We start from the raw sequence: 13,836 nt of genomic DNA, 5'->3' as shown, positions 1-13,836 counted from the left end.
TATGGTGCGATCTCAGCTTACTGCAAACTCCGCCTCCCGGGTTCGAGTGATTCTCCTGCCTCAGCCTCCTGAGTAGCTGGGATTACAGGTGCTCACCACCACGCCCAGCTAATTTTTGTATTTTTAGTAGAGACGGGGTTTCACCATGTTGGCCAGACTGGTTTCGAACTCCTGACCTCAAGTGATCTGCCTGCCTCAGCCTCTCAAAGTGCTGGAATTATATGCATGAGCCACGGTGCCCAGCCACATCTCTAAATTCTTGATGGCCAAGAAGTACACCCCATGCCATGGTGTGATAGTTCATACTTTTGGGTTTGTCCTACCATTGTATATTATTAGCTGAAACCAAATTGGTTTTAGCTCAGGGAGTGGTCCTGGGGAGGCCAGAGTTTGGACTCATGAAGGAACAGGGCCAACAGGAATTAGGGTATTTTATTGTGTGCATCTGGAAGTTGGAGAGGCCATCAGGTGTTTAAGGATAGTGATGTCTGTCTGTTTCTGACTTTTGGCCCTGTTACTGTGTGTGGCAGGAACACCTGGCAGTTTGAATGTGATTCCTCCGATGCTCACCCCCCTGGCCTCCACATCTAGACAAGGTAGTTGCTCCATGTTCTCGTACTCTTACCTAAAGTATATCATATCTAGCCACTGCCATGGGACAGACATGGAGTGAACATGCCTGGTGCTGTAGCTTTTATTGTGCAAATCTTCTTGGAAAACTTCCATAACATATTTTGGAGTTGTGTTCCATTGCTTGAAAAACAATATAATCTAATATACCCCACAGTGCTGTTCCCAAGTGATTTGGTTTGGATGTTTGTCCCCTCCAAATGTTATGTGGAAATGTGATCCTCAATGTTGGAGGTGGGTCCTGGTGGGAGAGGTTGGATCATGGGAGCGATCCCTCATGAATGGTTTAGTGCCATCCCCTTGGTGATGCGTGAGTTCTCTGGTAGTTCATGGGAGATCTGGTTGTTGAAAAGAATGTGGCACCTTCTTGCCTCTTTTGCTCCTGCCCTTGCCATGTCATGTGCTGGCTTCTGCTTTGCCTTCCATTATGATTGGAAGCTTCCTGAGGTCTCACCAGAAGCTGAGCAGATGCTGGCACCATGCTTATACAGTCTACTGTGAGCCAGTTAAACCTCTTTTCTTATAAATTACGCAGCCTCAGGTATTACTTTATAGTGACACAAAATGGACTAACACACCAAGATAGGTACTCATGTCCCCTTGTTGACTAAAAAGGGACAGTTCTTTGTGGAAGGCCAAAAAATGGCTGTCAGATTTATAGCTGAGCTTGCCGTTAGCACTGAGTGCCCCTAAGTTTTTGTAGCTTTAAAATCGATACCTCTTGTTCCCTAATTCTCAACCTTTAGTTATTTGGAAGAACATATGAATTGAGGCTAAGGGAGTGTGAGGAAAGGCATGTGGACTGGCAGAGAAAATATATGACCATTACCTGAAAAAAAAAAATCCACAACAACAAAATATATGTCTATTCATGATGAATTAACTTCACATTTGACAACCACGAAAAAGGTGAATAGATAGACCAGAAACTGGTTTGCAGTGCAGTGGAGCACACAGTGTACTTTGTATCTGTTTTTTTTTTTTTTTTTTTTTTTTTAGACGGAGTCTTGCACTGTTCCCTGGGCTGGAGTGCAATGGTGCAATCTCGGCTCACTGCAACCTCCGCCTCTCAGGTTCAAGCTATTCTCCTGCCTCAGCCTCCCGAGTAGCTGGGATTACAGGTGCCTGCTACCATGCCTGGCTAATTTCTTATATTTTTAGAAGAGACGGGGTTTCTCTATGTTGGCCAGGCTCGTCTTGAACTCCTGACCTTGTGATCCGCCCACCTTGGCCTCCCAAAGTACTGGGATTACAGGCATGAGCCACTGCACCTGGCCCTCTGTATCTTTTTCTAGAGCCACACTCCACTCACTTAAATGTTGTTATGTTCCAGGTGTCAGCATTTCAATGGATTATTATTATTATTATTTTTGAGATGGAATCTTACTCTGTTGCCCAGGCTGGAGTGCACTTTCCCAATCTCGGCTCACTGCAACCCCCGTCTCCCGGGTTCAAGCAGTTCTGCCTCAGCCTCCTGAGTAGCTGGGATTACCGGTGCCATCACCACCATGCCTGGCTAGTTTTTGTGTTTTTAGTAGAGACTGAGTTTCACCATGTTGTCCAGGCTAGTCTCGAACCCCCACCCTCAAGTGATCTGCCCACCTCAGCCTCCCAAAGTGCTGGGATTACAGGTGTGAGCCACCATGCCTGGTCCTCAATGGATTATTTTTGGTTATCACTATATCCTAATGCAAAACTACCACAGAAATAAGACATTATTGGGATAGACCTAGATTTGTTTTTCAGATGCAGCATAATTTTTTGTGTAAGGTAGAGGATAATTTGTGGCTCATAAAGGAAATAAAATAAACTTGTCACTTCCTTGCTTGAAGCTTTTCGGGCCATTCCAGGACTTTTCACGGACTTAAAATAAAATATCGGTGTTGCAGGCCCTCCAGGCACACGTGACCTGGCCCTGTGCTGCCCACCTCAGGCCTCCCTTTTGCTGACTTCAGGGCAGCCACCCTGGCCGCCCCCCACATCACCTGCCCAGCTTTTTTGTGTGTTGGTCTCAGCATGTGCTGCTGTCTCCCACCTTTTCCCACCCTCCCTGCTCTTTCTGGGTCTAATTCTTCTCATTCTTTAGGTCTCAACTTCCATTCTTCTCTTCAGCGAAATCTTCCCAGACCACGCTAGCTAAAGTAGTGGACAGTGCCCTGTCATTTTCAGTACATTTACTGTCATTTGTGATTTATTCAATATATTTGCATAAGTTTTGGCAAATAATTATTTCAATACCTATAAGGCCCATTCACTTCTCAGAAAACCGTATGAGGGAGGTAATATTAATATCTCCATTTTCCAGATGAGGAAATAGACACACAGAGGTTGTCATTTCCCAGGGTTACATAGATTGGAAGTGGTTTACCTGGATTCATATTAATCCTGATGCTAATTTGATGCTGAAATAATCATGATGCTGATTTGCCTGTCAATGTGGTGTGATCCTCCATCTAATACTGTAGCCATGGTTTTTCCTCCCACATTATCAATATGTTTTATTGGGTTTATTTAGTGCTGTGGATAGGATGTATATAAGACATAAAATGCAGAAGACTTTTTGTTTGTTTTTTACAGATGGGGTCTCACCCTGTCACTCAGGCTGGAGTGCAGTGGTGTGATCATAGCTCACTGCAGCATCGACCTCCTGGCTTCAAGGGAGCCTCCCACCTCAGCCTCCCGAGTAGCTGGGACTATAGGTATACGTCCCTATGCCCGGCTAATTTTTTAATCTTTTGTAGAAATGAGTAAATTTCCAAATTTCTGTGTTGCTCAGGCTGGTCTGGAACTCCCGGGCTCAAGCGATCCTCCTGCCTTGGCCTCTCAGAGCACTGGGATTACATGGCTGAGCCACCACACCCACCTGGAAGACCATTTTTTTTTTTTTTAATAACTGTTATCTTCCACCTTTGCTTTGTTCTTCCATGGCTAGATAATGCTTGGTCCCCGTCCCTCATGTCCCAGCTGTATTGTCCTTATCTTGCACCTGCTTCCTACAGAAGCCTCTTAACTCATCCACCTCCAGTAACTTCTGGAGTCACCCTCTCCAGTCAAACCATCCTACACAGAACTTCTTCGTCTTTTTTTTTTTTTTTTTTTTTTTTTGAGGCAGGGTCTGGCTCTGTTGCCCAGGCTGGAGTGCAGTGGTGCAATTACGGCTCACTGCAGCCTCAACCCTCCATGGTCAAGTGATCCTCCCACCTCAGCTCCCTGAGTAGCTGGGACCATAGGCCCATGCCACCACTTCCAGCTCATTTTTTATTTAAATTTTTTTTTTTTTTTAGAAATGGGGTCTCACTATGTTGCCCAGGCTGTTCTCCAACTGCTGAGCTCAAGCAATTATTCTGCTTCAGCCTCCTAAAGTGCTGGGACTATAGGCGTGAGCCACATGCCTAGACGCATGGAACTTCTAAACTAAAATAGTGTGAACATCATGTCACGGGCCAGCTCAGGGACAGATGATGACAACTGCCTGTTGCCTGTGACATTAAGTATCAACCTGAAGGCCAGCTGTCAGCTCTTTCCTAAGGCCACCCGCATCAGGCTCACCTGAATTTAGCTTCTGCTGCTTCCTAACGTGGATTTTCAGTTCTAGCTAGTCAGGTCTGGCCACCTGTCCCAGGTGCTCATTCCTGCCCCTGTGCCTTTTCTCAGACTGTTGTTGACTCAGGATGACTGCACTGGGGATAAGACAGGGTCCTTGCACCTAGGAAGTATACAGAAACACAGTGCGATCCAGGAAGGTGAGGGAGGCCAGAGAGGAGAGTGACTGCCTGGGGCAGGGCAACCGGGGAAGGAAATTTTCCAAGTGGCTTTTTGAAACACACACGCATCCACAAACCACCCCCAAACAAAAAATAGATGTGCACAAGGCAAACACGTTAGCTGACATTGATCTCTTTTATGACACTGTACCCATTTTAGTTTTAAATAATATTTAGTCTTTGTTTATCCTCTTTTTGATTTTGCCTGTCATTATCCTATCTTATAAAATTTAGTTTCCGAACAAGAGCGTGACTCCTTGAAAGCAGAGATCTATCTTCTGTTTCTCCTTAACCTTTTCTGGGCACTTTGCTGAGCTTAGAATAATTGTGTAATAAACATTGGTTGATTTCATTAATAAGGTTGCAGCAGATGGCAGGTGCCTTGTGGATGAACCTTTAATACCCATTATCTTATCTACCTACTTTGAATGTAAGTTGCTTGGGGGTTTAGGATTTCATAGCATCTGTATAAACTTAAATGTCTAATATTCCGCTATGCTAGAATTCTGGGTCTACCTTATGTCATTTGATACTTTTATGCTTTGATATTTTGTTTCTGTGCATACTTTATATAACCTAAGGTATGTATTAATCTATTTAGGTCTAGAATTTTGAAAGCATTGTCCTTCAACTTAATGGGGTAAAATTAATTTAGAGAATTATGAGTCTAAATGCTGTATTATTGCAAAGTAGGATGCTTATCAGCAGTTACTACCCCAAATCACAAGATCTTTTTTTTTTTTTTTTTGAGACGGAGTCTCGCTCTGTCGCCCAGGCTGGAGTGCAGTGGCGCGATCTCAGCTCACTGCAAGCTCCGCCTCGCGGGTTCATGCCATTCTCCTGCCTCAGCCTCCCCAGTAGCTGGGACTACGGTGCCCGCCACCGCGCCTGGCTAATTTTTTGTGTTTTTAGTAGAGACGGGGTTTCACTGTGTTAGCCAGGATGGTCTCGACCAAATCACAAGACTTTAAACCCAGATCTTTCCTGAATAGGAAGCTGGCTTGGGTGAAGAGAATATTACCTAGTTCTTGGGAGTTCAGCAGACTTTTTTCTGTTAGTCAGTTCCAAGTTCTTGTTGGTTTTCTCCATTGTTGAACAAGTTCACAAATCCTTCCTCTTAGGAGATGGTCTTTTCTGTTTTTACAAAGAAGATCAGGAATGTGAGCACTGTTAGGTTTTCCCTCTTAGACCGCTGCTTTTACCCATCCTCTCTGAAAAAGAAGACATGTGCGTGTGTTAGGAGGTCGTTGCCTCCCTGCCACTCTTAGTCTTCCGTGGCCCTCCCCTCCTCTCTCTGCCTGCCAAGCTCAGTGAGCTCCGCCTCTGCGTTTTCCTGCCTCCCCGCGGCTCCGGTGCCAGTGCCCCTCGCTGCCCTCCGCGTGCTTGCCCACGGCTCTGGCCTTCCCGTTGTCCGCCCTGCGCTCAGCTTCCCGAGCTCTATCTACTCCGTTCCACGTGGTGCGGCCAGGATAACTTGCCCAGAACGCATGGATGACTAAGCCGCTTTTCTGCTTAGATGGAGTTTTCAGTGGCTCCTTAATGCGTGTCAAGCCGCGGTCCCATCGAAGCCCTCAGTCCTTTCACGATGTGGTCCCAATCTAAATTTCCAACCTTGTCGCTTACTTTCTGTCCCCATTTTACTCTTGTAGGCGATTTGGGCAGCGTGTTGTTAAACCGATTCTGCTTCTGTTCTTCCCTTCTGGGGGAGGAACTTTTATATTCGTTCTTCAAAGCCTCCGCTCAAGTTCTGTTTTCTTCACAAAGCCTTTCAGAATTCATCTGTTATTTCTGTAGGACTTTGTTTCTAGCACTGTTTTGACGCTTTGCACATTTTGCCCTAACCCAGTATTTTCCCCAGATGTTCCCTGAGATGCGTTTTGGGTTGAAAATGGCTCATGACGTCTACGAGGTTTCGCGTGTACAGGGCTTTCTGTCCCCACAACGGGAGATTAAAGGCACGGGGAGGAAAATACGCTGCTTAGCTTGGTTTACTCCAGGCTTCCTCAAACTTATTTACCATAGAAAAACGTTTTTTTCTTACAAAATATGAACACCCAGTGCAGAATGCTTTGGAAGAATGCTGCCTTAAACTAGATGTCTCGGTGGCCTGCCTCCCGTGCAGATTGAAAGCTCCTCGAAGGCAGCTACTGGGCTTTGTTTATTTTTCCCGCCTGGAGCTCCTTGTAGATATTTAACGTTTACTGAATGAAGTCATATTGCATGATCAGGGATCTATGTTTCTTTCTTTTCTTTTCTTTTTTTCTTTTTTTTTTTTTTTTTTTTTTGAGACGGAGTTTCCCTTTTGTTGCCCAGGCTGGAGTGCAATGGCTCGATCTCGGCTCACCGCAACCTCTGCCTCCCGGGTACAAGCGATCTTCCTGCCTGAGCCTCTTGAGTAGCTGGGATTACAAGCATGGGCCACCATACCCGGCTAATTTTTTTGTATTTGTAGTAGAGATGGGTTTTCTCCATGTTGTTCAGGCTGGTCTCAAACTCCCGACCTCAGGTTACCTGCCCGCCTCGGCCTCCCAAAGTGCTGGGATTACAGGCGTGAGCCACCACGCCCGACCTAATTTTTTGTAATTTTAATAGAGATGGGGTTTCACCATGTTCGCCAGGCTAGTCTTGAACTCCTGACCTCAAGTGATCTGCCCGCCTTGGCCTCCCAAAGTGCTGGGATTACAGGCGTGAGCTACCATGCCTCGTGGATCAGTGTTTCTTTGGAGGCCTGAGGTATGAATATTACAAAGAAAAGCTGGTCTGCCACATGTTGTGACCGGTGCATACGTAGTAGGTACTCCATAAGTGTTGAAGAATGCTGAATAAATTCCAAGTGTCTGTAAAGTGGTACAGTTAAGGAGTTGTTTTTCTCAGCTGGTGAGCTAGTAGGGTGTGTGTGCCAGTAACTGTGTGTGTGTTTAAATAACCCAGAAAAGGGAAACTGGGTAAAAAGCATTCTGGTTTTCCAGGGCTTTCCTCGAGCTTTAAATCTTTTGCTGTTTTAGCTTTTATAGTATGCTGTAATTTAAGGAAACAACAATAAAAATCCAGTCTTATTAAAAAACATGATGCTAGATAAATTGATGATAGGTGGTGATTATATAATATACCATTATACAAAACATGACGTTTTAACATAAAGATTCTTATTGGACTTAAAATATCAATTAACCTACCAGTGGGTTTCTCACACAGCTTTCCATGAGTACGTGGCGTGTGTTAAGCTGCACCACCTCACTGGTAGTGATGCTGTGTTCATAGAGCAGCCGTTGTTCTGAAAACCTTTCTTTTATTGGGCATGTTTATACAGGCATGTTATGCATGCACATAAACATAAGCACCAAATAACATGGGCATGAATATTCACAATATCCCTTCTTTTAGTTCCTACATCAGCTGCTTCCTGTAGTTGGCAAAGTTTAGCTTAGTAGACTAAATGGAGTTTAACCCTTTTCTCTCTCCCTGAACCAAGCCCATTCTGTTTCCTCATGTGGGAAGAATTTCATCCTTAGAAGAATGATTTGCATTTGGTTGAGGACTCATTCTGTTAATGACTAGGATTCTAAGAGTCTTTTGAATTCTGTTTAAATTATTTTTTCCCCTTTTATTTTTTCCTCTTAGGCTCCAACCAGGAATGGAGACGCCATTGGATGTTTTGTCCAGGGCAGCATCTCTGGTGCATGCTGATGACGAAAAACGTAAGTGAGGAGTCTATTATAAAATAGCTTAAGTGCTTTAATGATCCCTTGTCTTCTGCTCCATAACAAAATTACATGCTTCTCTACATGGTTTTCTGGCTATTTGCTGTTAATTTTGGTGGTTTTCCTTAGAGATAACAGCTTCACATCCTCATTTGTATTTTCAAGAACATGTAAGTCTTTTAACTGGCACTTAACTATGGATACTGGTTTGTTTTTTTTTTTGTTTTTTTTTTTTTGAGATGGGATCATGCTGTGTTGCCCAGGCTGGTTTCAAACTCGTGGACTCAAGTGTGGGTACTGGTATTTAACTGGTATTTAATTTAATTTATTTATTTATTTGAGATGGAGTCTCACTCTGTCACCCAGACTGGATTGCAGTGGTGCAATCTCGGCTCACTGCAACCTCCACCTCCCAGGTTCAAGTGATTCTGCTGCCTCAGCCTCCCAAGTAGCTGGGATTACAGGTGCCTGCCACAATGCCCAGCTAATTTTTTTTTTTTTTTTTTTTTTTTGTATTTTTAGTAGAGGCGGGGTTTTACCATGTTGGCCAGGCTGGTCTCAAACTCCTGACCTCAAATGATCCGTCTACCTCGGCCTCCCAAAATTCTGGGATTACACACGGGAGCTGCCACGTCTGGCCTTAATCAGTATTTTAACTTTGTATGCTAGAGTTTGAACCGTTAATTGTAGGTCGTTCTTTCCTTCTCAGGTTACTATCAGTGATCTGGAATGAAGATACTCCTTATGTGTCTCAGATGTTGAGATAAATATGTGTTAGTTGATAGACTAATTGACCAGCAGAGAGCTAGAGATGGGAAAAAAAATCATCGAACGTCATTTATGTCGTTGGAAATGTACAGTATGTGTCATAATGGAAAACAGTCATGAAAATTATGTTTGCATTGCTGAGAAAGAGCAAATACTGGGAGAAAAAAAATGTTCATTAGTGTAGTTTGAGGGATGGGTGAAAGGAACAATATTGGAAGATTATTCTACAACATTTTAAAGTGATTTTCCTGCTCACCCAACAATATATTTATTTTTAAACGTTCTTGTTCAAAGTTAAGATTACTTGCTAAACAATATTGTAAGAATTACTGTTTCATGTAGGAACAGTTCTTTTTCTAAGCACTAAAATATTAATAACAACAAAAAAATTTAGGTTGACGTTTTATACATTATAAGTTCTCGAAGATGAGCTCTTTCCAGTTTAGTCCTTCCTGGATTGGCAGACAGCAAGTGTATGTTCTTAAAATCTGAGGTCTACCTCTCTACTGGCTGTTAGACTTTTATTTTTCTAAGCCTCAGTTTTCTCATTAGTAACATGGAGCAACAATACCTACCTACAAAGTGTTGATGAGGATTAACGGGCTGTCGTGTGTACTGAGCTTACTGATTAGCTTTTGACTCCTGGTTGGGACTGCCTTGCCCTCTCTCCTGGCACATTGTTGGCTTCTGATAGGGCTTCTCCCAGTCTTCTGTATTAACATGTGTCTTAGTCCATTTACATTGTTGTAAAGGAATACCTGAGACTGGGTGATTTATTAAGAAAAGAAGTTTAATTGGCTCACGGTGCTGTAGGCTGTACAAGCATGGCATGAGTGTCTGCTTGGCTTCTGGAGAGGCCTCAGAGAGCTTTTACTCCTGGCAGAAGGTGACGGAGAGCAGGCATGTCACATGTGAGAGGAAGGGCAAGAAAGAGGAAGAGGTGCCAGGCTCTGTTAAACAACCAGCTCTTGAGTGAACTAGTAGAGTGAGAACTCACTCATCACCGTGCCATTCATGAGGGATCCACCCCCATGACCCAAACACCTCATACTAGGCCTTGCTTCCAACGTTGGGGATCACATTCTTACATGAGATCTGGAGGAGACAAATATCCAAACCTTATCATCATGCGTCTGTGTCTTCCCACCCTCCTGCCACCACCCCTACAAGATCATCATTCTACCAGTGATTGCGTGAGGTATCTAGTAAGGTTTTTTCAACCTCTTGTATAATTCACACTTACTTAGCTTTTGATTGTTGTGAGGATATAACCACCTGATGGTGAGGTATAATTATTCCTTACTAAAGAAATTGAAGTTCAAGGATGTTAAATGGGAATCTGAGGAATTGGAGCTCGGGAGAGGCAGCTCAGGCCGAAGGCTTTTTACCTAAACAACAACAAAACTCCTTTATTCCTCTAAGATTGCAAGAAATATGACTTTCTACAATTGCATATCACCTCTCTCCAGAGCTGTCAGCCATCCTGTGTCGGGGATGTCTTCTGAGCTCATTGCTGTGTCTTCACCTACCCAGGCTTGGCAGTGCCCCTCCTAAAATGTGGTACCTAAGCAATGATTTTTCTATGTGATCTGATGAGGATTAGGAGGACATCGTGTCAGGCCTACCACCAGCTTGGATCTAGCTCAGGAGTTTTTGGGGGTGAAGGGAGAAAAAGGGGTGGGGCGGGCTGGTGCCAGGGCAGGGAGCAGCCACTGTAAGACTGTAGGGAGCAGTGACGACCCTGGAGAAGTGGCTGATTTGAATAGCTATTTGCAGACTTTGTTGAGCGCCAATATAGTCAGTTTAGAAGTTTTTATATAAGGTAGTAGTTTGAATTTCTCTCTTTTACAATGCCCAACTTTAGTTAGGAATAATAAAACAAAATACTGTTTATACAATGAAAAATAGAAATAATTACCTCAGGGTAACCTTTTGTGTCTTTAAGTGGGGAGAGTAAAGACTTTCTTGTCTCCTCTTTTGATCATTCTGTTCCAGTTGGAGGCCTACCTAGTTTCCAATTTAGTGAGTGATGATTGAACCCTTATATATAAGGGGCATATAAAGATAAAGAAGGGACAGTTCCTGCCTTCATGGGACTCATGAATATGTTTGTGTGCAGACGCTTATGGCTGTAAAATGTATAGAAGTGGGGACAAGCACAGCTGGTAATGTAGATGCAAGACTCCCTTTGGAACCTATGGTTTGGGAGAGCTGTTTTCGGAGAAACAAAACGATACTGCTAAGGGAAAGAGGAACTCTTACTTTCCTTCTGTGTTGAACACAGCCCATTGGTGTTTTTGAAGAATGAGGATAAATTCGCTTATAAGGCTCTAACAATCAGAAAATAGACTGTAGACTTTATCCTAGATCATTCTCCTTTTTTTTTTTGAGACAGAACTTGCTCTGTCACTTAGGCTGGAGTGCAATAGCATGATCTCAGCTCATTGCAACCTCTGCCTCCCAGGCTCAAGTAATCCTCCTGCTTCAGCCTCCTGAGTAGCTGAGATTACAGGCGTGTGCCACCACACCTAGCTAATTTTTCTATTTCTTTTTTTTGTAGAGATGGGGTTTCATCATGTTGCCCAGGCTGGTCTCAAACTCCTGGCCTCCAGCAGTCCATCCGCCTTGGCCTCCCAAACTGCTGTGATTACAGGTGTGAGCTACCATGCCTAGCCGAACATTCTTTTGACTCAAATGACTCCAGTTGCTTTAGAGATGGGCTGGCATAATTCTAGAATCCCTGTATCATGGTTTCAGCTTCTTAGGATCATTTTTTACATTTGAATGAGAGGAAAAAAGTCCAAAGATGTCTTCAATTATTATTAACATTTTTGGGAAACCTTTCTTACTCTTGTGTTATGTGTACCACTCTCAAGTATGCTGAGCTCGAAAACCAGGCATTGTATTTTCTGTTACCTAATTCATTAGTTATGTATTATTATGTAAGTGTGTGAAAAGTCATACAATTTATAGACAAAGTTGAACATTAGGTTTCGATGTCTTTCAGTGGATTTCTTAGACTTACTTGGGCTGATTCAGCCTGACTCAGCTTTCTCTGCCCTACATTAATTCTATTTTAGCTTTTGTTGTAAATTGCTCTCAGACTTTAGGGGAGGTTAACGTTCTCCTCAACACTTTAAAAAAGCCTTGTGAATGTAATCTGATTTGGGCCTCTTATTACAAACAGAAAAATGTTCTACTACTTGAGATCAGTTTCCCAGCTCATCAAGGTGACCTAAATGATTCTCTTTTCCTTTGCTCCTGGAGAACTGAAAACTTGGGGATTTTTGAGGATGTTATTGTTTCAGCATTTTGAAGGGAACAGTACCTATTATGACTTGAGTCTATAATACCTGATAGTATTAAGGCTTCAGTATGTCTACTAGTGGAGAATAAAAGAAATATTTCAATAGTACACTGTAGAGCTAAAATAAATAGTAAAATGGTGGTTTTGTAGTAACACAATAGTTGCTTATCTGGATGGCCTGGAAGGGATAAATTTACTTAAAATAATCATTCCACTGCTCATGAGACATTGATGTAATCAGTGTCTAGGGTAACCCTGGAAGGTACTGAATGGAAATACAACTTGAGATTGCTGTTCTTCCTTGTGCTTGAGGAACCTCTCCTTTCAGTGATTGGTAATACTGGTGCTGGGAAGTCCCAGCTTTTTTCCAGCTGTTTTTTTCTGGAGACAGAGTCTTGCTCATTCGCCCAGGCTGGAATGCAGTGGTGCGATCACGGCTCACTGCAATCTCTGCCTCCCGGGTTCAAATGATTCTTGTGCCTTAGCCTCCTGAGTAACTGGGACTACAGGCGTGTGTCACCACGCCCAGCTAATTTTTTGTATTTTAGTAGAGGAGGGGTTTCACCATGTTGCCCAAGCTGGTCTCAAACTCCTGAGCTCAGGCAATCCACCCGCCTTGGCCTCCCAAAATAATCCTCACACCTAGGATTACAGGTGTGAGCCACTGTGCCAGCCTCCAGCTGTTTCTTCATAGGGTAAATTGATGAAAATGGGAGGGCAAGGTGCTTGGTGCTAATGTATAAAACAACACCTTGGCATGTCTTTAACATGATATTCCATTTTATTGCAATGTTTACAAAATGGTTAAGTTTGGTAACCATATCTTCTAATTTTAAGATCTAATTGCATCCGCTGACTTCCTCACTTAGATTAAAATAACTTTAAATTAAAACTTTGAGGGTTTTGGTGGAGGGAATAGTGCTTTTGAATGAATATGCAGATGATCAGCAAGGCTGGATGGGGCTGGTGTGAGTGATGTGGCAAGGACAGCAGCTTTTGCAGGGGTTGCGTTTGCATCTGCCCCAAGAAATTCACTAACTCCTTGTTTGGAGATGATTATTGAAGGTTGACTAATTGATGAAGCATTGATTACCATACTCCTTTCAAGTAAGCATTCCTAAGAACCCAAGCTTTTATTATAATGGGGACACATGGCCCTCTTGTATGGAATATGTTTATATTTCTAGGCTGTAGTCTACATTTGCCTTAAAAAAAGGAAAGCAAACCAGGTCAGCTTAATGATAACGTAATGTTTAGTTGCACTCATATACTCTTTTCTCTTATGATTTCTTTCCTCAAGATCATGGTGACTTCTGGTCGGCTTCTGCATCAGCCAAGTGAACCTCTTATGGGGTTTGCTCCTGTGACTAGTTCAGCTGGGCCCACTCCTGATCTTTCTGTCTCTTTCTCTCTCCTTTTCTCTCAGCATCTAATACTGTGGCTTTTGAATATGGTTGACTGTGGCACACAGTAAAAAAGCATTTTAGGCTGGGCATGGTGGCTCATGCCTGTAATGCCAGCACTTTGGCAGGCTGAGGAGGGAGGATTGCTTGAGCCCAGGAGTTTGAGACTAGCCTGGGAAAAATAGGAAGACCTCATCCTCCAAAAAAAAAAAAAAACCACAATTAGCTGGGTGTGGTGGTGTGTGCCTACAGTCCCATCTACT

General features: G+C 43.3%; 1 protein-coding gene across 8 annotated transcripts in view, besides 1 other annotated feature; it reads left to right on the top strand.

The window, feature by feature from the left end:
• Nucleotides 1-13,836, top strand: part of VGLL4 (vestigial like family member 4) — a 165,749-nt gene that overhangs the window by 10,753 nt on the left and 141,160 nt on the right. For 6 of the 8 annotated variants that reach the window (XM_047449259.1, XM_024453835.2, XM_047449262.1 and 3 more), the window contains exon 2: nt 8,016-8,092. In XM_047449259.1, the coding sequence (XP_047305215.1) occupies nt 8,016-8,092 (77 nt within the window). Of the gene's footprint in view, nt 1-248; nt 597-8,015; nt 8,093-13,836 lie in introns of those variants that run through there. The other 2 variants (XM_024453836.2, XM_047449260.1) reach the window with 2 other exon arrangements.
• Nucleotides 5,574-5,868: a silencer, noted in NCBI's record as "tiled region #9131; HepG2 Repressive non-DNase unmatched - State 23:Low, and K562 Repressive non-DNase unmatched - State 4:PromP". NCBI's record gives its function as "represses a minimal TATA promoter and a strong SV40 promoter by Sharpr-MPRA in HepG2 and K562 cells {active_cell/tissue: HepG2 | K562}" and the evidence as "EXISTENCE:reporter gene assay evidence [ECO:0000049][PMID:27701403]".

Source organism: Homo sapiens, chromosome 3 (genome assembly GCF_000001405.40).
Source record: "Homo sapiens chromosome 3, GRCh38.p14 Primary Assembly".
Taxonomy (NCBI): domain Eukaryota; kingdom Metazoa; phylum Chordata; class Mammalia; order Primates; family Hominidae; genus Homo; species Homo sapiens.
This window is presented reverse-complemented; position numbering and strand designations above follow the sequence as displayed.